Raw genomic sequence first — 25,402 nt, forward strand, 5'->3', positions numbered from 1 at the left:
AGGATTAAGGTATCATATGCCAGGAAATAGAGGGGAAGATCAAATATATATTTCATGATATATATTTCACAATATATATTTCACACCTTTCCACCATCCCACCACCCACTTCAACACTTCTGATATGGTTTGGTGATGTCCCCAACCAAATCTCATCTCAAATTCCCATGTGTGAAAGGTACCTGGTGGGAGGTTACTGAACCATGTGGGAAGGTGTTTCTCATGCCGTTCTCATGATAGTGAATAAGTCTCATGAGATCTAATGGTTGGATAAGGGGGAGTTTCCCTACACAAGCTCTCTTTTTTGCCTGCCACCATTCACATAAGATGTGACTTGCTCCTCCTTGCCTTCTGCTGTGATTTTGAGGCCTCCCCAGCCATGTGTAACTGTAAATGCATTTAACCTCTTTATTTCGTAAATTACCCAGTCTCGGGTATCTCTTTATTGGCAGCATAAAAATGAACTAATACACCCACCATGTTAAAACTTGGATCCCTTACATGAAATGAACATACAACTCAAAAGATATGGCCACATGACTACAGTCACATTTCACCATTGATAATTAGTTCGATCCATCATATTGTAGTAATGTCTCCTAGGATGAGTTCATTCAGGTTTCAGGCTTCCTTTCAATCTTGTCAGGTTCTAAAGCAAGAGTGATGTTGGGAAACACACAACTTTACTCTTGCAGGCATCTGGTGTAAATGAGCTAAGACTCATTATCTCTTGCTCTGAAATTCTTTTGAGGTGATGGTAAATTTTCCTCAGTTTAGAATCCTGTTCTAGTTTAGATTGTAGGCAGCTATACCAATCCAGCAAGTAGCTTCTCCTCAGTCCACTCTCATTCAGATACACTCCCATTCAGATAAAGTTATCTACATAAAAATAGAAATGAATAGGGTTTTTTTTTCCACCAGAAAATACAACTGCATTTACTATTAGACCCACTTTTCCTGAATAGAGTGAAGACACAACCCACCCCCAATAGGCCCTTAGGAATTCTGAAGTAACATTTGAATATATAGTTATGGTTTCTTGTTTGGATATTATTTATGCTTTCTGCACTTGCCATTGCAGCCTTGATCCTAAGACTACTGCATCAGGCAGGGGAGAAAGAAAATTTGAAGTGATTTGGGGAATAAAGAAAAAATAATAGTTACACCAGTGTGCTTCTTCCTTGCCAAGAATTTCATGGTCATATCAGGGTCCTCCAGTTACAGTAAGTAGGTAGTCAGGCATGAACAGGGCAGAAGAGACCCCCATCTCTGTCAGGTGACCATCAGGTGATGGTCAGGCAGTTGCTAAACTGTCTCTCTATAATAAAAGTTGCTCATTACCAGTGTCAGAGCAAGGTCGGTTCCCAAAATATAAAAACATCTAAAACTTGTGATTAATAGCTTCTAAGTAAGATATCAGGAGTTGGGTCACTGTGCCCAAGCATGTGCAGTAAGAGGCAAAATAGCAGAACGTAACTGGTGTATGACCTTCTAGGAACCCTTGACTGGTAAGGAAAGAATGTACCACATTCACACAACTTCAGTAAACAAACTGAGAATGTGTCCCCTCCCAAGTGCTAGCAGGGCACTTCACATGCAGACAGCTTGCTACAAAGGAAGAATAAGGAGAGAAAGTATGCAAGACCTCAGAATTATACCAACATATATGACTGCAAGTCAGAGGTTAAACCTGGTACTTGATTCAAGATGACTTAAGAGCAAGTCATCTGGTTGGCCCTTTCCAAGCTACTTTACTCTCTTTCTTTCCTGATCGAAAACCTTTTTAATACACTTTCACTTCTGCACTAGAACTTGCCTCAGTCTATTTCCCTGCCTTATGTGCCTCAGACAAATACTTTTTTTCTGATGAGGCAAGAACTGAAGTTGCTGTAGACCCATATGGTTTCAATGCCGCACTGGATTCAGTGCTGCTAACAACCCTGTCACCCACTTATCCCCAGATCGATCTGGAAAATAGAAAACTCTAGTGAAGACACATTGTTTATTCCATGCATGTTAAGTCAGAGCACACTTAGGAAGACATGGAAGCCAGTCCTTTATGCTTTCATCTCCACCCATTTTAGACAATCAGTGTTTTAATTGCCTATTTTACAATAGTTTTAATCACACCATTACTCTGGGGAGGATACCTCTCTGCCTATTGTTGGATATTATGGGCTGTACAGAATGTTTTTTGATCTAAAGAAATGACAGTCAGCCATCCAAATCCATGCAATATCTTCTGTTCTATTTATTGTGTGGCACTCTGAGAATTAGCATCTTCCCCCATGTAATGGAAGCCCACTCCAGACTCAGTGTCTACTCCTCTATTCTCTGTCCCCTTTGAGAATACCAGTCTTGGTATTGCTTGCCAGACATGTACAGGGCTTTCTCACCAGAAACTCTGCTCCAGAGCCATCTGCAGTATATGTCTTGCTGGCTGACAAGCATAGCGGTTCTTACTGGCCTTAATGGCCTGAGACAATGTAAGAGGACTTATCTAGATTTGGCCCATATCTGCACTGCTGCAGAAACCCCATATACATCCATTTCATGGCTGCAAGTGACCACCTCAAGGGAACACATGGGGATATCTACTTATCAATTCTAGTCACATTCTGGAAGGGGGCTTTTTCTGGGTGTATCCATCTGTCTTACTTTTTGAGTATGGAAGGGGGCACTTTGTGTGGGCATCCACTTGTCTTACTTTTATGCACCCCTGAAGTTTCTATAGTAATTTCTACATGGCCATGCCCCATACTGGCATTGTTTTAATTGGCCAATTAAATTGGTCATTGTCCTTCTGCCTGACCATGTGACCAAGCAGGGCATTGGCTAGCCATTACCCATGAGTTAGTTAGTGAAAACTCAAAACAGAGTTAATTCTTTCATTATTGTGGGAAAACAGCATGCAGTTCAGCTCCCTGAGCCACCTTGTTTTCTTCTTTTTTTTTTCTAATCAAAGTAGAAGACTCCATACATGTTGCTCATTCACCTTGTAACTGTCATCCACAAACCCAGCAGCTCTTTGTTGGTCAATTGATAGCTCTTTGTCAGGCTCTGTAGAATCCAGCAGCTCCTCACTGTTCTAGAGTCAGGTGTAGGGTAAAACAGGCTCTCTGCTCATGAGTATCTCCTCCTTGCAGTCCACCAGTAGAATCATCCTTTATAACAGATTTGCACTTTTTCATGTATTTCATATCTTTTGGGTATTGCTTCCCTTATTAGAGCGTTTCCTAGGAACCAGCTCAGATGTCAAGATCAAGTGTCAAAATTACTTCATGTCCTCCATCATAGAGGTAGCTTTAGTCACTGTCCCAGAGCAAGGTCGTAGTACATGCCCCTTAAATAAACTAACTTTGTTTCTTTCTTTCTCTCTCTCTTTCCGTTTCTTTCTTTCTTCTTTCTTCTGTTTATAAAATTTTTGTTTTTCTTTATTTCTTCTAAAAATAACCTGTGCAGAAATTACAGGTTTTTTACGTAGGTATATGTGTGCCACGGTGGTTTTTCCTGCACTTATTGACCCATCCTCAAAGTTCCCTCCCCTCAGCCCCACCCCCAACAGGACCTGGTGTAAGACTGACATGAATGTTCTTCACCCTTTATTTCTGATTTTAGTAATTTGACTCTCTTTTTTTTTTCTTCATCGGTCTGGCTTTTCTTAAAGAACACATTTTTCTTTGTTTCTATGATTTTTCTGTCTTTTTGACTGCATGAGATGCTGCTCCAGTAAATCAAACTCTGTTTTAATATTTAAGTGATGCCAAAAAAGTACAATCAGAGCAGAAGTGCACAGCTTTTTGGCCCCAAAGCTCATCAGGAGATTTAAGATTTCAGCCCCACTGAAACTGAGTTTGAGAGTTATTAGACACTCTAGAATGTAGCAGTTTCTCACAATTCATCCTAGGACAGAGGATCTCTGCCTGTTAGGTAGCAATATTTTATGTTAACCATTTTTATTTTATGATGGAACTCTTTTGGGAAACATTATTTCCATTAGCATATGGGTAGCTTCAGTTAATATTTCATAGAAAGGCAGTAAATGCCCCAGCAAATAGAAATTCTCTAGTTCAGTCATTGTCATTGAAAGGTACTCATAGTTTCTTACTTCAGCCACGATAAAAGCTCCACATAAAGGGACACACACTGGAGGATTTGTCCCAACTAACACTTAAGTGTTTACTTTATATTTTGTGGGCATAGGCAATTTACTAGTTTCCATTTAGTATGTCCAATTAACATTTCCTAAGAGAACATATTTATATGTCTTCAGTTTATAGTACTAGACAGATGAATTATGCCCCAGTTAGCTATAGTACCCACTTCCTTGTTTTGTTTTGTTTTTAACATGAAGTCTCACTCTGTCACCAGGCTGGAGTGCAGTGGTGCCACCTCTGCCTCCCGGGTTCAAGCAATTCTCCTGCCTCAGCCTCCCGAGTAGCTGGGACCACTAATTTTTGTATTTTTAGTAGAGACGGAGTTTTACCTTGTTGGCAAAGTTGGTCTTGACCTCTTGACCTCATGATCCACCCCCTTCAGACTCCCAAAGTGCTGGGATTACAAGTGTGAGCCACCACAGCTGGCGATATAGTACCCATTTTCATAAGACTGTTAGGTAAAAGGGTTACAAATACCTTACATAAAGCTTGTTTACATATGTTAAGTTTTGTAATTATATTAACCTATATGTTACTATATTCTGGTCTTAGGAACTTCCCCCCAACTTTTTTTTTCTTTACTCCCGAGATCTTTTTAACTCTTCAGGTGAAAAAGATTTGGGTTCCCATCAGGAAGTTGCATCTGTATGACCTGTTAGGGATAGCAAATTTGATAAGGCTTTTTAAAAAGTCCTTTGATTCTGTGGGAGAGACACCCATGTAAAAAGAGGCTCATTTAGCCCAGAAATTTACCATGAACTTGTTAATAAGCATATTTGGTGGGAGGATATCTCAGCCATCATAAAGCCAGTCTAACATGACTTGCATATTTAGCATGTTAACTGCTTCATTTGGGGAGCTTCAATAGGTATTGAGGGATAAGAAAAAAAGAACCATTTTGGAAAAACTCAGGCTGCACCTGCACACAGATAAGCAATTTGTATAATTAGTGAAATCCTAGGGAAAAAAAAAAGGTATCTCCCTTTCAGGCATATATGTGGTGGAAATATGCACAGGGCTGAGGATGGCTTATCAAAAACAACCCACTTTATACAAGGAAAATAAGTGGCACTGTGTGCTTGCCTGGAGGCATACCCACAGCTACATAAGATAAGGGGAGTTGCACACACAGGTTTACTGATAAGAGAAGTTACTCAAACTGCTACAGACATGAGAGGAGTTTCTTATAAAAGCTTTCGAATTCAGATGTAACCCAGCAATGCACTCAGACTCCTCTCTGCTGTGGAGAGCTTTTTTTTTTTTTTTTCATATTAAACTTTCACTCCAACTTTATCTTTGTGTTTACAATTCTTAATTTTTTTGTCTTGGATAAAGAACAAAAAACCTGGAGTACTTCTTCAGACAACAAGAAACTTCCAAATTAAGGTGCATTGGCAAGAATGCAACATATTTTGATCCATTGGCTTGGAAGGAGGGAATTCATCAGAAGGGTGAGTAAGAGCCGACTTTTACCTTTAACTATTTACATTCATCTATGAGTCTTCTCATCTATTCCAATCTAGTTTCCTTTCACAGAGGACCTAAGCCAACATGTGGGATTGGAAGAAGGTCCTAGGAAAATTCAAGATTTCTGGCTGGGACTAACCCTCAGTGTTATCTGAAGGTCCTCAGTGTTATCTGAAGACTACTCCAATCCTTGACAGCCCACCAGTGTGTCAGCACAAGGACCTTCCCTCTTACATTTTCCTTCTTTTCTCCCATGGCTATTATGTCACCTATCTCTTCATTGTATACAATGTTGCAGGTGTTTTTTCAGCCTAGAGATATAATCTTGCTTGGTAGAGTAAGTTGGTGTCTTTTTTTGTAACCAGGAATGTAACTTCAAGAAACTGTGTTTTTGTGATTTCCTCGAGACAGAGGAGTTCAAGATTTCTGTCTAAGTATTCACTTAGTAAGGTCTCTTCTACCCCTCAATAATAGACATTCATGACACTATATGGTCAAATATTTCACCCCAAGTGAATATCCTCTTTTCTCTCCATTTGGATTGTTTCTTCCCTCTACATTTGGGTTGGTTTTTCCCTCCCCATTTGGGTTGGTTTTTCCCTCCATGTAAAATCCCAGCATTGCCCAATAAATTTAAACAATTCTTTATGAAACAAGTTAATTTTCTTGTGCTGGGAGGAATATTATAGGAACAGCCAATTAAACTGAAACCTCTTTTTCTAACTTCTGCCTGAAAGGATGGAGTCACAGTTTTTACCTAATATTTCAGACCCTACAGCACTACGTAGGGGAATGGGATTTATTTTTCCCCACTGGGAGCCTTGTTGGCCCTTTGTCTAAAAACTCTGGTTATCTCCCTTTTATATCCCTCTATTAGAGACTAGGCTTCATGCCCCATTTGAAAACAGCAAAGCTCCAGCTTTAACAGTAAGAGGACGGCCATTCCATTTATATGTTCTTTTAAGGCACCTGTTCTACATTCAGCTACATTGGCATTTACACCAGAAATGGGTTTTATGTTTGAAAGTGAATCAGTCTCATTCTTTGGGGTTTCAATGTTTCACTAGGGCCATAGCAAGGGAAACCAAAGATAATACTAAAACACTTCCTCCATTAAGGAGGGAAGTCCAGCAGATGCCCAGATGCAACTGTCACATAGTCTTTCCTGAGACCCATCCATCAAGGAGTGACCCAGACCCAAGTCTACGAGGTCAAAGAATAATCACCATCAGAGGACTAAAGCCACTTGGGTGAGCATGGCTTGCCCCATTGCTTAGCTCCTCTGCTACCATCATTTGAAGGTCACACTTGAAACCACTGGTGGCATATTCAACACAATGCTGGGACCCAGGAGCCAAGGAGAAATAACAGTCTGTGGGACACTCCTACTGTCTTCTTCTCCTCCCTGGGTCACACTGAAAAAAAGCAGGAGACAGAGGGATGCCTCTTTTCTTGTCTATTTTTCTAGAGAGGTGACAGTCCAACTTTAATCTGCACCCCTCTGAGTGCACTCTGAAACTTTTAGAACTACTTTGACCCGATGACTTTGAAGAAAAAGGTGACCATTTTCTTTTGCACGAGAGCATGACATTTTTTACTAAACCTTCACAAGCATTATGAGATCAACCCAGCTTTTTTAACAGTCATGGCAGGTAGTCCCATGGAGAATAATTCCGCAGAGTTAGAAAAGCAATTTCTAAAGAAACCATCTCAGAATGCCCCTTATTAATCACCACCTCAAGTTTTCTTTTCATTGCAGGAACTTACACAAATAAAGGGGGAACTAGGTAGGTTCTCTGATGACCCTAATAAACATAGAGAGGTTTTCCAAAATTTGACCCAAATGTTTCATGTTACATGGAGAGATGCTATGCTACATTTAAGCCAAAACCCTAACTGTTACAGAAAAGCAGGCAGTCTTGCAGGCAGCAGAAACATTTGGAGATAAACAGCGTAACTCCTATAGCCAGTCTAAAAATCTTGAAAGGAAAAAATCTAAGGGATAAAAGAGGATAAGGAGAGACAGGGTCCCCATTCCCAATAGTAAGAAAAATGAGGCTCCCTTAAAAGCCCTAATTGGAGCCTGAGTGATCTCATAAATGAGTGGAAATTAAAAGAATTTCTGATATACATTTAAAAAGACTTGGAAATAAGCAGAACAAGACCTCTTAATTACTCTCAACTGTATGAGTTGCACCAGAAAATATATGGAAATCCACCTGCCTTCTTGGAGAGACTGAGAGAAGCTTTAGTAAGACACACTTCCCTGTCTTCCAGTTCAGTAAAAAACAGGTTCAATACTCAGGCAGCCCCTGATATCAGAAGAAAGTTGCTGAAATAGGCCCTGTCTAAAAATCTTTCTAGTTTTTCTCACCAAACAATCCCACATTCCTAAGCCCTCTCCACTGTACTGTCTCATTCACAATCTTGCAAAACTTGACAGAAGCATTTAGTCTTTTACTGTAACATGGCCTGGTCCCAATACACATTAGATAATGACAGTCGATGGCCCAAAAATCATACCTTTGACTTGCAAATTCTCAGGAAGCTTAACAACTTTACAGCGAGGGATGGCAAATGGCAACTGGTTCTCTATATTCAGGCTTTCTTTGATGTCTACCTTAAATGTAACCTTCCACTGTGTCAAGCTTGCACTGCTCATAAAATCTTTCTTTTTAATAAAAATCCTCCCCAGGTCTTTCCTTACTATGAAACTCCTTTTAACCCAGTAGATAAAGCCCCTCTGTATTCTTATTCCCTGCATCGACTCCTTGCCCATCCAAATCCTCTACCCCAGTGGCCCCTCCTGCCTCCAAACCCTTAGCCCCCAACCCAACTACTCGTTCTCCATCTGTTACCAATTCAAAAATCACATCTGCCTTTCCCTTTCTGGGAAGTGGCTGTGGTTAAAGGCATTGCTCACATTAATTTCCCTTTCTCCATGTAGGATTTGTTGCAGATCAAAGCTGTAAGTATATTCAAAATGCCTTTATATTTTTCTCTTCATCAATGTTGTTTCATTGAAAAGGTATTTTCCCAATTAACTGAATTAATGTTCTCCACTGTGTCTTTCTACTTTTGCTGCATGTATAAAAAACCCTAAAATAATTTATGGTAGCCTGGGACTCCTTGGGAAAGCAGGAAAAGCACTACAAATCCCATTTTGGGAAAAAATTTCTGTTTTCCTTATGAAATCCCTGGAATTAGAGGTGAATAAGTATCTCTCAAAATCTGTCTTTTTCTTCCAGCTATATTTGTTTATTAGTCCATAGAAACTTTTTTCATATTACTGTTCTTAAAGGGTCTCACCTGAAGGCCAGTAATACAATTGGGAAATTAGCAGAAAAAAAAATCTTATAATTACTGAATTTCTTCTTCTTGTCTGCTTGGCTGTATATGTGTTATGTGAGTAATGTCTATTAAAAGAGCTCTAATTAATTGATATATAAAAATTAGCACTGAAATCAAATATTTTTAAGGGAAAGGTAAATGCTGTGAGAACTTTCAGTTCATGTGAAACTTTCCTTACACACCTTGCACATAAACAGTTTCTTCAATAGTTTTAAATACATATTTTACTTTGAAACTTCCTGGTGTATTAAAATAAGAAATCTCTGAAGAGTTGCCAGAATAACTTTCTTTTCTTTCCTTTTCTTTTTTCTTTCTTTTTTTTTTTGTTTTGTTGAGACTGTCTTGTTCTGTCACCCAGGCTGGAGGGCAGTAGCACAATCTCGGCTCACTACAACCTCTGACTCCTGGGTTCAAGTGGTTCTCCTGCTTTAGCCTCTTGAGTAGCAGGGATTATAGGCATGCACCACCACAAACAGCTAATTTTTGTATTTTTAGTAGAGACAAGGTTTTACCATGTTGGTGAGGCTGGTCTTGAAATCCTGACCTCTTGATCTGTCCACCTCAGCCTCACAAAGTTCTGGGATTACAAGTGTAAGCCACCATGCCTGTCTGCCACATACATTTTTTTTGCATTAATTAACTAGGCAATTTCATCCCTATTTCTGGTAAATACTATAAGGTGTGAAAACTTGGCAGAGAGGCTACAAAACTATTACCCACTCCAAACAAAATAATCTTTGCTTGTGTAATTTTTAAATAAATAAAACAGCAATATTTGTTTGATGATGATAGCTACATATTAACCTATTTAGTGAAATATTCTAGCTTACAATCTTCTGGCCTCAGGCAGTCTAGTCCACAGACATGAAGGAAGTTTGTTTTAGGAAAGGACAGTTATCATCACTGATATTAAATAAAAGACAATTTATATAAAAAAGAATCTTCTGTGGTAAATTCTTGTCCTAAAATAATTTAACTGGTTGTTTAAAGAAATAGATATTTATGAAAAGCCAGAAAGTTGGGGCATGTCAGAGACTGTCTGTAAAAGTCAGGAAAAATTTTATAATAGAGAATTTATGCAAGAAATGTTGCACAATTTAAAAGTAATTAGATCCCCTGAATGCTTCATAAAATGTCCCTATACCTCTTAGCTGTACAACTTACATGCTTTGCAGCTAGGCAAAACCTAGGACACATGGAGTTAAATATTGAAATAAGCCAGGCCTTATCTGCAATTCTGTCTAGATCCTAGGCTCTAGACCTATCACATAATTAAAATTCAAAACTTACCAAGGTTTTCAACAAAGGTAAATGTTGCTAAATGTTAACAGTAAAATATGTATTTAAAACTATTGAAGAAACTGTTTATGTGTAAGGTGTGTAAGGAAAATAAAATACATTTTTGGTAAAAAGATTATAAGGAGGCATAAGATGTGAATTTTTACTTGCACGAAAATGTTAAATTGTTTTGAAGGTTTAAGAAACCTTCAAATGCTGTGTATAAATATATTGACTAAAGTTGAAGGGGTATCATCCAGTTTTTCTGTAATTGAGCTTTGAAATAAAGACACATGTGTTTCTGTTAAAGCACTAACCTGTTCTTTAACAAAAATTATAAAGGGTTAAAAAGGGTCTATAAAAAAATCTTACCTTATGGTCAAACATTAAAATTAGGTAAATGTGTCTACAAGGTTTTATTAAAATTGAGTTTAACATTAATAGCACATTAATATAAGGTGGAATTTTAGCTTATCTGGTATAAAATCATACAGGAAGCACTCTCAAATATAAAATGGTGTTTGGCTTCCTTTGAGCTATATTTGTATAAATATATTCATATATGTTTCAAAGTTATGGGAAACTCCTATAATTCTGATACATCTTCATGGACATTATCAGTAAAAATTATAATTGTTACATTAAAATTATTGTGTGTCACAGAGATAAAAGGTATCTTTGTTGATTGCATCTTTAACTATGTCTACCTTAAAACACTTTGTCATCCATAAACAATTGTTGTCTTGTTTTGTTCCTCTTTAGAAGATGGTTTTGTAATCAGCTATAAACCTCTAACAGGTGCTCTGAAATGCAGGTTTCTGATAATTTTAGAGAGTGTAACATCAGAATAGAAGAAAACATTCAGAACACTTGAAAAGCTAAAATGTTCACTAATATCAAGCAGGATAAGAATTAACTGTATTAACTAAACTAAAAGGAGGATTGAGTAATCTCTTTAAAGTTTTGCTTAGAACATTGTTAATTCTTTGTTTTGCTTTTCAAAGTCAAATAAATTTTTCTTTTGAGCTATTAACAGCTTGTAACAATTTAGTATACTCCCGTAAACAAAATTTGGAGCATACTTGTTTCTCTATACCTGATTTTCTACAGAATTTGGAAACTATCTGTTGAGTATTCTTAAGTTATGGCAGTATGGTTATTTCCATAAGTGCAATAAGAATCTGTTTTCTTTTGTAACAGGGCACATTTAGAAAAGCTGGTTATTTTTACCAACACTTTAACTGGAATTATATGCTTTCCTTTAAGGAATCAAACTTGACTTACAAAGCAAAAAGGCCCTTGGAAAACTCACTGCATATTTTGTGTACACAGTCCCTGTACATGGTTTCTGATCTGTGGTAAGTAAAAAAATTACTTTCTAGCAGGCTGGGAAGCCCAAGTTATCTTGGTCCCTCAAGAGAAGAGAAATTCTCCAACTAATAGGTATTGGACAGTAAAAATCCATGGCTGGGCTTCGCTTTAAAAAGGTCTTATCTCAGATTCCTTCTTTGAAACAAAGTGCCATATAAACCAATTTAATAGGCAGATGTAACAAATAATTATTCTTGCTGCACTGTATGCAAATAACTGTCAAGTATAGTAAAGCAAACCAGTCCTATTATAATTTGTCTTTTAATAAAAATGGGAAACTGGAGAGACAAAATTATGTTTCAAAAATGATAGCACATGGATTGTTGAATTCTAGTGTTTCCTAATGTTTTTCTATTTTTATTATTTTCCACTGCTTAAATTAAACTCTAATTTTTCTGGATATAAGTTTCCATATTAAGCTGTGATTTCTTAAAGCCCTACAAACTGAAAAGTAAGTGTTTCATCAAGTACTGCCTCTAACACAGGGCCACCACAGGAATAAATGTCTTCACTGCTGGTGCTGACAACTAATAACTGAGGGTGCTGAGAAAACTTTCCCCCAAAGTCTAGTGAGTCCATGAAATGCAGGGTGATTAAGATGATATCTGATACAGGAGTCAATTCCTAAATACATCACTCAAGTCAAAGCCTAGAAATCTAAGAAAGCAACCCAAACAGCCCAAAGAAACACCCTAAATATCAATGTAAAAAAATAGAAAATATTAAGCTGAAAATCATAAAAGATAGGTGACTAAGTGAAAACTACTCATTTTATTCAGCCTCACACACCTCACCAAATACTTTTGGTGTGTCTACCTCTTTTTTTAAGCCAAATATTAAAACATTTTAATGGAAATTATTTACTTTGCCACCCTTGTGGGAACTGCCTTACTCACTGCTATTTGCAGTAGAACAATATGCTATAGCATCCTCAGGGTGGAATATCAGACAAAAAAATCTCAATTATTATAGCATTTTCCCTAATTATTATCCAGATAGCAGGAATAATAGTTACTAAAAGAAAGTAACACATGAGTTCTTCCAAACACATGCTTCTGCCTCTCATCAGGTAACAAATGTTTCTATAGCAACGAATAGGGCTTAGTAAAAAACACTGCTAAAAACTTAAAGAAAAGGCTAAAAAGCTAAGGGAATATCAAAACAACCGAATAGATTCTTGGTTTGGATTCAAAATCATAGGATGAGTCATCCCATTCCTGGGACCTCTTCTAATAATATACCTGGAACTAATGTTCTTACCTTGCCTAATTAACTTTTTTCAAAGATTTTTAACTGAAAATATCATGGCCATTTTACAGACAACTACCCCAAAATATCTACAAATGACATTGCTCCTACAGTAAACCCAAGACCAGAAAACTCTCCATCCCCTTGTCAGCAGGAAGTAGCCTGCAGTCCCTCCTCCTTTTTATAACCATAGGATCTGGATTGACAGAGCAGGACCACCACCTTGTTGGAACAACCCCTCATTCTAAAGCTGACCTCAATAAAAAACTGCTTAAATCCAAAGGGTGTCAGCCTAATGGCTAAGGTCAGCATGACCATAAACCACAGATAACTTCTCTAACCAGAAACATTCCAAACTCCTCCCCAACCAGAGATAGGGTAGTCCTGAGATAAACTCTGCTCTGGCTGGGAAAATGCTAGCCCTGAGATAACCCCCTTCTTGGTCAGAAAGATGTCTGCCCCAAGATAACCTTACCTCCTGCCAGAGAGATTCCAACTCCGCTATAAACTTCTCCACACACATAAACATTCCAAGCTTGTGATAAGCCCCCTCAACCTAAAAGTGATATATACTCAGCTTTTAAGAGAAAGTACTCCTGACTGAAATTGGCCAGAAGCACCTCTCAGGTTTCCTCTAAAGAAAACCTGTCTTTACCTGCCAGCCGCATTTCTTGTTTCTTTCCTCTTTAACTCCTACAGAAATAAAAGCACAACAAGGTTTTCTTAAGATTTCAATGTGCTTTTTAGAAAATCTTGTGAAGAGTTATAAAAGGTACATGAAAATCTCACATCATGATCAAACTGGTTAAAATTGAATAGGATTACCTATAAGCTTTCATTAAAAATTGGGGTTAACCATTAATAGTAAAATAATGCAAGGGTGAAATTTAACTTGCTTGAACAGGGTTTTCATGTAATAGTAAAGACTGATGAATGGTTTTTGGCTTTTCAAATTTTGACTCATCATTTTGGCAAGACAAATAACTATGTTAATCTAAAATTGTATTTCATAACATCAAGTGTTTTAAATTTCAAATATATTTAACAGGCTTACCAAAATCAAACTACAGTCTCAAGGTTGTCTTTCATGACCTAGGGGTTTGGGTGCTACCGAGGACCCCTGGAGCATCCAGAAGAGAGTTAAACAGGATTATTTAACATGTTTGCATACATGATGTCAGGCCTCTGAGCCCAAGCTAAGCCATTATATTCCCTGTGACATGAACGTATACATCCAGATGGCTGAAAACAACTGAAGATCCACAAAAGAAGTGAAAATAGCCTTAACTGATGACATTCCATGATTGTGAAGTTTCTACCCCACCCTAACCGATCAATGTACTTTGTAATCTCCCCCACCATTAAGAAGGTTCTTTGTAATTCTCCCGACCCCTGAGAATATACTTTGTGAGATCCACCCACTGCCCACAAAACATTTCTCCTAACTCCACCGTCTATCCCAAAAGCTATAAGAACTAATGATAATTCCACCACCCTTTGCTGACTCTCTTTTTGGACTCAGCTCACCTGCACCCTGGTGAAATAAACAGCCTGTTGCTCACACAAAGCTTGTTTGGTGACCTCTTCACATGGATGTATGAGACACATGCAATTGCCAAAATGATATTTAATATTTTCCAGGTTATATTTTGGGCAATAATATTAACATATATTTCAAAATCATATAGGATTTCTAAGGTTCTAGTATCTGAACATGTGCTATTAATCACAATTAAGTGTGTTAAGTTGGTTTATGGTGAACCATAAAAATAACCAAATTTGTCCAACATGTTCTTGACTGTAACTACCCTGGAAATTTTGTCATTTACTGACAATTTTTGTCTTGTTTCAATCTTCTTCTTCTTAAAAAAAAATAGATTATAATCAGCTGTAGAACTTTAACAGGGATTCTTTCAAATGCTGGTTTCTAATAACAGAAAAACTTACAGGACACATGAAAAGTAGAAACTGAACTAGTAGAAAACTAAAGCAATATTCTTGACTTATGCTTGGAACATTGCTGATTCTTATTTTGTTTTTCAGAGTCAAGGACACTTGTCTTGAGCTAGCTACACCCTTTCACAACTCAGTAAGGTATACTCATTTGAACAAATTGTGGAACATGTTTGTTTTTCTCTGTCTGGTTCTTCTAGAATTCAGAAACTTGTTGTATTCTTGACATCAGTGCAATAAGAATCCATTGCATTTTTCAACAGGACACAATTTAAAAAACTGATTGTTTTACCTAGGCTTTGACTGGAATGGTGTTTTTTTTTTCCCTTTAAGGAGTGAAGACTGATTTTGCAGAGCCAATAAAGGCCCCTGGGGAAACTGGCCTCATATCTTGTCATGAAGATTTTATACAGGTTTCCTAACCTGTGGTGAGTAAAGAATGTCCCTCTCTAACAGGTCTACCCCATGCTCTTGGAACCTCAAGAAGAGACAAGTTTACCCAACTCACAGGTATTTGAGGATACAAACCCATGACTGGGCTTGGCTTTAAAAATTCCTATCTGAAATTTCTAGTGGAATAAAGTCTCATCAAATCTAATCTAAAAGGCCTGTGTAAAAATAATTATTCTTGCTGCACTTTATGCAAACAATCAGACCAAGCTTAAAACTAAAGTTTATTTTGCAAACAACTCAGTCCTATCATAATTTTTTTAACAGAACAAAGACTGAAAATAAATAAATTATATTCAAAACTTATCACACCTCTGTCATTAACTTCTAGTCTCATTTGTTGTTTTTAAGTTCTGAGCTGCATTTTAAAATAATCCTGTCTATTTCTGTAACCAGCCAGTGATTTCTGGCTGCAGCTCAGAGGAAATAGAAAGGGATGGGTAACGTGAAAATCTGGTAAAATATTCTAGTTCTAGGTAATTATTCTACAAATTCTGCCAGGTAACCTAAAGCCCCAAAGTTTTTCTGGGGGCTGAACATAAGAAAAAGGAAGCTCAACAAAGCATGGCCCGTGCACCCAAATCTTATAAAGCATAACTATTGCTAGCAATTATCAGGGTGTGTCAGAAGCCTCAGAATTTTAAAAGTTGTTCTTACCCCATTTGTATAATTTTAATACATGTTCTCTAATAACCCACATTTTTTTCTTTCTTTCCCTTTCTTTCTTTTCTTTCTTTCTTTCTTTCTTTCTTTCTTTCTTTCTTTCTTTCTTTCTTTCTTTCTTTCCTTCCTTCCTTCCTTCCTTCCTTCCTTCCTTCCTTCCTTCCTTTCCTTCCTTCCTTCTTTCTTTCTTTTTTTTTTTTTTTGACAGAGCCTTGCTCTGTCACCCTAGCTGGAGTGGAGTGGCATGACCTCGGCTCACTGCAACCTCTGCCTCCTGAGTTCAAGCAATTCTCCTGTCTCAGCCATCCAAGTTGCTGGGACTAAAGGCACATGCCACCACATCTGGCTAATTTTTTTGTATTTTTAGTAGAGATAGGGTTTCACTATATTGGTCAAGCTGGTCTTGAACTCCTGATCTCAGATGATCTGCCTGCCTAGGCTTCTAAAAGTGCAGGGATTACAGAAGTAAGCCACCGCACCCGACCAATTTTTTTTTTTTTTTCACCTGGAGGCTATCAAGCTCCAAATGGTAATGCAAATAAAATGAGACATCAACAAGCCTTTTATTTGAGGCACCTTAAATCAGCCCCTGAAGGAGTCTTAGCTGCTGTTTTCCCACACAACACCCCTCTTCGGCTGGAATTACTCAGAAATCAATATCCAATCTCCCCAACAGCAGTTAGAGTTTCCACTCCTAAAAGGAGAATGAGGTAGAAGAAAAGAAAGATAATTCTGGAAAAACATGAGCTGTACCTGCAACAGATAAGAAACTTTATATAATTAGCAAACTCCCAGGAAAATGTTTCCTCCCCTTTTCAAGCACATACATAGTGGTAAATTGCACAGTGAGGAGGCAGGCTAATTGAAAACAAACCAATAGTTATACAAACAAAAGAAGTGGTGCTTTGTGTTTGCCTAGAGATATTTCCACAGCTGCATAAGATAAGGGGAGTGGCACAGAGAACTTAACTGGTAAAAGAAGTTACTCAAACTGCTACAGAGATGAGAGGCATATCTTATGAAAGTTTTTGAATGCAGCTGTATCTGGCAATTCACTTGGACTCCCTTATCTGCTGTGAAGAGCTTCATTTATTTCACTTATCAAACTTTCACTCCAACCCTATCTTTGTGTCAATGTTCCCTAAGTTTCCTGGATGTAGGACAAAAACCTGGGGTACTAATAGAGACAAAGAGAAAATCCTACATTAAGGTGCTTTGGTGAGACAGCAACCGTGTTTTATAGGAATAGTTGGGCAGTTCTCTTTTCACTGAAATAGATTTTTCATAGCAAATAGACTTTACAATGGTAGTATCTGGCCCACTAAGCTGATTTATTTCTCAGGAATTCTGTGTATTTGAAATATATGTATACTCAGTGATTATTAAGTAATGAGCTGTGGGTTTCACATTAATTCAAAAAAGCTCTGAAAATATGTAGCATTTAAAATTAAGAAATTTGTCCTTATTGTGACTTTTTAAAATAGAAGAAGCAACTATATACTGTAGCCAATCTTTTCTTTTAATGGTGGAAGTTAAGCCATTTACATTTAAAATACTTTTTGATAGGTGTGGCTTTATTCTATCATCTTGTTAAGTTTTTGATATTTTTGTATGTCTTTGTATACCATTTTTAATGCTTATCTTTGGAATGTTGTGTTTGTCCATAGTGATAAAATGTGATTCATTTTTTATTTCTCACTTCTGTATCTTTTCTTCTAAGAAGTGTTAGTTTAAAGTATTTCCATAATGGTAGATGTAGACCATTTACTTCAGATGCAGGAATTCTTTCTAAATTTCTAGCAGAAAATACTTCATTTATTTTTATTTCTGAATGATAGTTTTGCAATGTGTAGAATTCTAAGTTGATTTTTTTTTTCACTCAGCTTCTTGGTAATACCTTTCCTTTATGTTCTTCCCTTTAAATTTTCTGCTGAAAAATTAGGTCTTAGTTCAATAAGGGAAGTTCTTATATTTGACTTGACACTTCTTTTGTGTTTTAAAAATGTGTTGTCTTTTGCTGGATGGTTAGACTATAATTCACATCAAGATAAATGTTTTGTGGTTAAATTTATTTGTGATTTCTGGAGCTTTCCATATCTGTATGTCTACATTTTCTCCAGTATTTGGACTGCTTTTAGTTATAATATTATTAAATAAGATTTTATGTTTTTTATCCCCAATATTTGAATATCTTTATGTTCTCTTGTATGTCACTTGGACTTTCTTCTATATTTAATTTTTCTGTTTGTGTATAATATCACTTTTTAAAATTGTCCTCAAATTTTGTGTTTATTTTATTTCCTCTGCTTTATTTAGTGTATTTCTGAGTATCCTGTTTGCATTTTTTATTATTGTTTTAAAAATATCTCTTTTGCTCCCTTACAAACAAGTGCTCACTGCTGCAAAGAAGAACAAGCACACAGGCAAAAAGTTTTCCCAGCAAGGTAATTTGCTTCTGCAGAAGGTTGCTGCCTACCTCAGTCACAATTGCAAGAGCACCCCGAATAAAACAGAGAAGGGATTTTTATCCGTAATACAGTTCCTGTCCCTGTGTCCTTCCCTTATTGGCTGGGATTGAACTGCACAATCTAAACTGATTTGGGTTGGCTAAGAATTAAACTTTTCTAAATGGGGCAAATGCACAATTTGTAAGAGAAGAAGCAGGTAGGAGGGATCTGTTTGTTGCAGTACAAGGCATGTCTGAACATGTCTGGGCATGGCAGGGTGCAACTGGAGTGGGAGGGTGGTTTGCAGGCTGGAAACAAGAGTACAAGGAGGTTAGGATTTTGAACAAAGGAAAATAACATTACGCAATTAAACCTTTTGAAGAGGAAATTATCATTCCTAACAATTTCCCCATTTGTCTTTTGACAATTCTTCCTCTTCAAGTTTTTGTAGCATGATTTAGCCTTGTTTCTCCTCTTGATCATATAGGGACAAGAGCTTCTCTGAGTATTGAGGAAGAGGGATAGGGGAGGGTTATGTGAGAGCTGTTTCTGTAAGTCTTGACATTATCTCACAGATACAGGGTATGATGCAGCATCCTACAAAAATGAGTACACTTATGACAATTAAAAGACAGGTTAATATTGAAGACATAAGCCCTTTCCATTTACCGAATCTCCTTTTGATGAGGTTTGTGAAGGGGTCATTTCTTCCAGAATTTTTGGCTAACTCATCTGACAAGGAGATAAGGCCTTGTAAGGCCATTGTAATTGTTCCATCAAGGGCTGTGTTGTTAGGGATAAAAGTACAGCATTTGACCCCATTCATGACACAGAGTCCACCTTTTTCTGCTAACATCATGTCAACAGCTATTCCATTTTCCTGTGCCCTTTGGCTGGTGAGGGAGGGGGCTAATTGTTCATCTATTCTATTAATGGTATCTTTGTGTTATAGTATAGTATAATTGACAAATGGCTGTTGATTATATTAGATGTAGCTTATCCGATCTTCATTTTTGTTTATAATTGGCGACCAGAACACTGCAGATTTGAATCCCACAGCTGTTTCATTTCAAGCTTTAAATTCATCTGGTAACCCTCATGGAACTCCAATAGCATCTATATAAATGTGAGTGTCAAAAGACCAATGATGAGCACTTCTTTGTATCCAGTTCTCTTTCTTTTTATGTTGACAGAATGCCAGGGTGAAAGGAAAGATCAATTGGACCAGAGCACAAGTGCTGCTCCAGTTACTTGGCAGAGTACCTAATAGTGATCCACCACAATACCACCATATATCTGTTTGGGAATAAACAAGGGCAAGTTGACTGGTAAGCTCTAGGAAAAGCTTGGTTTCACTGCACTCTTTTAGGTCTCTGAGAGATGTTAATCTTTCCCTCTGCCATGAGAGATATGAGGTAAAATTAACATCCAAACCTGGAGGCCAGGTGACCATGAGGGGCTGACCTGAAGAGTCTATAACTTCAGGAAATAGCAGTGAGTGAGTCTTGAACACCTCACTGCCTGAGGCTGTGGGGTTTTGAAAGAGACTCACAAAGTAACTCATGCCCAGTTGATCAGGAGACCATCTGCATGGGAAGTGGATTATCTGGGCCTCTGGCCTGCCTCTCTCACAAGTGTAACAGTCACTTTTGCTTAACTTGAAACAGAATACTTAATCAATTCTAGCCAGGAATATGCATCTTGGTATCCCATTTCAATCACTAAAATTTGCTTTAAATCTTTGATGTCTACAAAGTCTACCATAATTTTGTCATTTGGTATGGAAACAACAACTATTTCATTGGAAAGAGGTTCAGAATAAGGAGAAGAAAAGGATGGAGGAGCAATGAAGCATATCTCAAAGGATTCTATAGGGTCTATTCCAGTAACATCAGCTTCTAGTCTATAGAAGTGACCTAAAGTGGGGTTAGTGTCAGTAACAGTGGGAACAGTGATAGAGATTTGCACAGGGTTAAATTGTTGGAGTTGACAATTGAGGGACTTGTGTCTTTGGTAAATTGGATGTAAGGTTTTAGGTTATGGCAACCTCCTCCTAGGGAGGTCCAGCCTTGACACTTAGTGGTCCAGGCCACATCTCCCCCGTCTCCCCAACCAAAACAGAAACAGAACTTCCACTGACTGTCTTATGCTCATTTGGCGCAAGAGTCACTTTTTCTTTTTCTTTTTTTTTTTTTTTTTTTTGAGATGGAGTCTTGCTCTGCCACCCAGGCTAGAGTGTAGTGGCACGATCTCTGCTCACTGCGAACTGCACCTTCCAGGTTCACACCATTCTCCTGCTTCAGCCTCCCAAGTAGCTGGGACTACAGACGCCTGCCACCATGCCTGGCTAATTTTTTGTATTTTTAGTAGATGTGGGGTTTCACCATGTTAGCCAGGATGGTCTCGATCTCCTGACCTTGTGATCCACTCGTCTGCCCTCCCAAAGTGCTGGGATTACAGGCCTGAGCCACCACACCCAGCCCACTTTATTTATTTATTTATTTATTTATTTATTTATTTATTTATTTATTATGGGATGAAGTCTCGCTCTGTTGCCCAGGCTGGGGTGCAATGGCAAAATCTCGGCTCACTGCAAGGCAAGTTCCACCTCCTGGGTTCACACCATTCTCCTGCCTCAGCCTCCCTAGTAGCTGGGACTGCAGGCACCACACCTGGCTAATTTTTTGTATTTTTAGTAGAGATGGGCTTTCACCACATTAGCCAGGATGTTCTCGATCTCCAGACCTCATGATCCACCTGCCTCAGCCTCCCAAAGTGCTAGGATCACAAGCATGGGCCACCACAGCCTGCCAAGAGTCACTCTTATAGGCAGTTTTATTTATACTGAAAGGGCAAAGTTACTTTTCTGAAGAGGCTAGCTTTCTTTGGCTTCGGAGATCTGCACAGGCACAACAAACAAGCATCAAAGGTAATGATTTGAGGGGAAGTAGACCTAGTTATATTAATAAGAAGATGTGAGGTAGCTGGGAAGAAGAGGAAAAGGTGGGAGAGGCAGATTAAAGTTTCCTTTCCAACATTACCCTGCTTGGGGTGGGTCCTTGAACAGCTATCCATGACTCTGGAAGGAGTGATACTTTTTGACTCAGGTGATTGGTGCATCCCTTCTCAATGGTTCAGAGTGCCATTTCAGTTGTTAGGAGCAGTATATCAGGTCTTCCCAAGTGGGTTTGAGCTTTCCCTTTTTCCAGCTTTTGAGAAGGATGTGATCTCTGGGTTGGTGTTGGTGAAATGGTAATTCAAAGCATGCAGTTTGCAATAGGAGGCCTTGATTCCTGAGGGAGGAAATGGTAGAATACAGACCAAATACATAGTTTTTAAGAAACTGATCTTTGGTTTCAAATGTAGAGAGATCAGTGGTGTAATTTAAATAAGTTAGTCCATAAAGCATTTCATAAGGTTATAGGCCAAGATCCTTTCAAAGGGCAGTTTGAATTCTTACTAAGGCAATAGGGAGGCATTTTGTCCATGGTAACCAGGACTCCAAGAATAATTTGCTTAGCTTTTTTTTTAGGATTTGTTTCTTTCTTTCTACATTTCCTGATGAGGTTGGATAGCAGGGAGTGTAATATTCCCATTTTATTCCCATACTTCAGTTAGCCCTTTAATGATGTATTCAATGAAGTGGGTCCCATTGTCTGAATCAGTGTTTTCTATTAGTCCAAACCTGGGTATGATATGTTCTAACAGGGCCTTAGCTATATTACTGGCTGTTGCACTTGGGAAGGGAATGGCTTCTATCCAGTTGGTATGGTTCAATATTACTAACAAATACTTGAGATGGCCCACTGGGGGCATTTCAGTATAGTAAACCTGGACACTTTGGATTGGCCTTAACCCTAGATTTCTTCCCCTGGGAGGTTGCCTTTTTAAGGTCTGCTTACTGCTTTTTCTGCACACTATGCAACTATTCACTACTTGTCTACGGAGGGTGTATATTTCTATGCACACATAGACACTAAGAACTGCATCACACATAGCTTGAGGACCCTATGATCCTTGATAAAGTTGTAACAATATTAACCTCATAAGAGATTTCAGTAACATTTTCTTTCCATCTGGTAATACTTTTCTCTGGGTTTTCCTTAGCTCCTAATTTCTTTTTTTTTTTTTTTTTTTTTTTTTTTTTTTTTTTTTGTATACCGTGTAAGGTAATGGTCCAACTTTATTCTTTTTTTTTTCTTTTTATTCTTATACTTTAAGTTTTAAGGTACAAGTGCACAATGTGCAGGATAGTTACATATGTATACATGTGCCATGCTGGTGTGCTGTGCCCATTAACTCGTCATTTAGCATTAGGTATATCTCCTAATGCTATCCCTCCCTCCTCCTCCACCCCACAACAGTCCCCAGAGTGTGATGTTCCCCTTCCTGTGTCCATGTGTTCTCATTGTTCAATTCACACCTATGAGTGAGAATATGTGGTGTTTGGTTTTTTGTCCTTGTGATAGTTTACTGAGAATGATGATTTCCAATTTCATCCATGTCCCTGCAAAGGACATGAACTCATTCTTTTTTATGGCTGCATAGTATTCCATGGTGTATATGTGCCACATTTTCTTAATCCACTCTATCATTGTTGGACATTTGTGTTGGTTCCAAGTCTTTGCTATTGTGAATAGTGCCACAATAAACATACGTGTGCATGTGTCTTTATAGCAGCATGATTTATAGTCCTTTGGGTATATACCCAGTAATGGGATGGCTGGGTCAAATAGTATTTCTAGTTCTAGATCCCTGAGGAATTGCCACACTGACTTCCACAATGGTTGAACTAGTTTACACTCCCACCAACAGTGTAAAAGTGTTCCTAATTCTCCACATCCTCTCCAGCACCTGTTATTTCCTGACTTTTTAATGATTGCCATTCTAACTGGTGTGAGATGGTACCTCATTGTGGTTTTGATTTGCACTTCTCTGATGGCCAGTGATGATGAGAATTTTTTCATGTGTTTTTTGGCTGCATAAATATCTTCTTTTGAGAAGTGTCTTTTCATGTTCTTTGCCCACTTTTTGATGGGGTTGTTTGTTTTTATCTTGTAAATTTGTTTGAGTTCATTGTAGATTATGGATATTAGCCCTTTGTCAGATGAGTAGGTTGCAAAAATTTTCTCCCATTTTGTAGGTTGCCTGTTCACTCTTATGGTAGTTTCTTTTGCTGTGCAGAAGCTCTTTAGTTTAATTAGATCCCATTTGTCAATTTTGGCTTTTGTTGCCATTGCTTTTGGTGTTTTAGACATGAAGTCCTTGCCCATGCCTTTGTCCTGAATGGTAATGCCTAGGTTTTTCTTTTAGGGTTTTTATGATTTTAGGTCTAACATCTAAGTCTTCAATCCATCTTGAATTAATTTTTGTATAAGGTGTAAGGAAGGGATCCAGTTTCAGCTTTCTACATATGGCTAGCCAGTTTTCCCAGCACCATTTATTTAATAGGGAATCCTTTCCCCATTGCTTGTTTTTCTCAGGTTTGTCAAAGATCAGATAGTTGTAGATATGCGGCATTATTTCTGAGGGCTCTCTTCTGTTCCATTGATCTATATCTCTGTTTTGGTACCAGAACCATGCTGTTTTCATTACTGTAGGCTTGTAGTATAGTTTGAAATCAGGTAGTGTGATGTCTCCAGCTTTGTTCTATTGGCTTAGGATTGACTTGGTGATGTGAGCTCTTTTTTGGTTACATATGAACCTTAAGTAGTTTTTTCCAATTCTGTGAAGAAAGTCATTGGTACCTTGATGCAGATGGCATTGAATCTGTAAATTACCTTGGGCAGTATGGCCATTTTCACGATATTGATTCTTCCTACCCATGAGCATGGAATGTTCTTCCATTTCTTTCTATCCTCTTTTCTTTCATTGAGCAGTGGTTTGTAGTTCTCCTGGAAGAGGTCCTTCATGTCCCTTGTAAGTTGGATTCCTAGGTATTTTATTCTTTTTGAAGCAATTGTGAATGGGAGTTCACTCATGATTTGGCTCTCTGTTTGTCTGTTGTTGGTGTATAAGAATGCTTGTGATTTTTGTACTTTGATTTTGTATCCTGAGACTTTGCTGAAGTTGCTTATCAGCTTAAGGAGATTTTGGGCTGAGACAATGGGGTTTTCTAGATATACAATCATGTTGTCTGCAAACAGGGACAATTTGACTTCCTCTTTTCCTAGTTGAATATCCTTTATTTCCTTCTTCTGCCTAATTGCCCTTGCCAGAACTTCCAACACTATGTTGAATAGGAGTGGTGAGAGATGGCATCCCTGTCTTCTGCCAGTTTTCAAAGGGAATTCTTCCAGTTTTTGCCCATTCAGTACAATATTGCCTCTGGGTTTGTCTCATTATTTTGAGATGTGTCCCATCAATACCTAATTTATTGAGAGTTTTTATCATGGAGGGTTGTTGAATTTTGTCAAAGGCCTTTTCTGCATCTATTGAGATAATCATGTGGCTTTTGTCTTTGGTTCTGTTTATATGCTGGATTACATTTATTGATTTGCATATATTGAACTAGCCTTGCATCCCAGGGATGAAGCCCACTTGATCATGGTGGATAAGCTTTTTGATGCACTGCTGGATTTGGTTTACCAGTATTTTATTGAGGATTTTTGCATCAATGTTCATCAAGGATATTGGTCTAAAATTCTCTTTTTTGGTTGTGTCTCTGCCTGGCTTTGGTATCAGGATGATGCTGGCCTCATAAAATGAGTTAGGAAGGATTCCCTGGTTTTTTTTTTGATTGGAATAGTTTCAGAAGGAATGGTACCAGTTCCTCCTTGTACCTCTGGTAGAATTCGGCTGGGAATCCATGTGGTCCTGGACTCTTTTTCGTTGGTAAGCTGTTGATTATTGCCACAATTTCAGAGCCTGTTATTTGTCTATTCAGAGATTCAAATTCTTCCTGGTTTAGTCTTGGGAGGGTGTATGTGTTGAGGCATTTACCCATTTCTTCTAGATTTTCTAGTTTATTTGTGTAGAGGTTTTGTAGTATTCTCTGATGGTAGTTTGTATTTCTGT

The 25,402-nt window shown here is 38.0% G+C and overlaps 1 long non-coding RNA gene across 7 annotated transcripts in view; it reads left to right on the plus strand.

Moving 5' to 3' along the window:
- Positions 1–5,372: 5,372 nt before the first annotated feature.
- The window catches only part of LOC105377225 (uncharacterized), a 34,342-nt gene continuing 14,312 nt past the window's right edge, over positions 5,373–25,402 (plus strand). Inside the window, exons 1-6 of one of the 7 annotated variants that reach the window (XR_007068465.1) lie at positions 5,373–5,608; positions 11,520–11,611; positions 14,916–14,966; positions 15,159–15,253; positions 18,329–18,382; positions 19,579–19,713. This is a non-coding gene — a long non-coding RNA (uncharacterized LOC105377225). Of the gene's footprint in view, positions 5,609–10,778; positions 14,967–15,158; positions 15,336–18,328; positions 18,383–19,419; positions 19,512–19,578; positions 19,714–25,402 lie in introns of those variants that run through there. The other 6 variants (XR_938635.3, XR_938636.3, XR_938637.4 and 3 more) reach the window with 6 other exon arrangements.

The sequence above is a fragment of the Homo sapiens genome, chromosome Y (assembly GCF_000001405.40).
Source record: "Homo sapiens chromosome Y, GRCh38.p14 Primary Assembly".
Taxonomy (NCBI): Eukaryota; Metazoa; Chordata; class Mammalia; order Primates; family Hominidae; genus Homo; species Homo sapiens.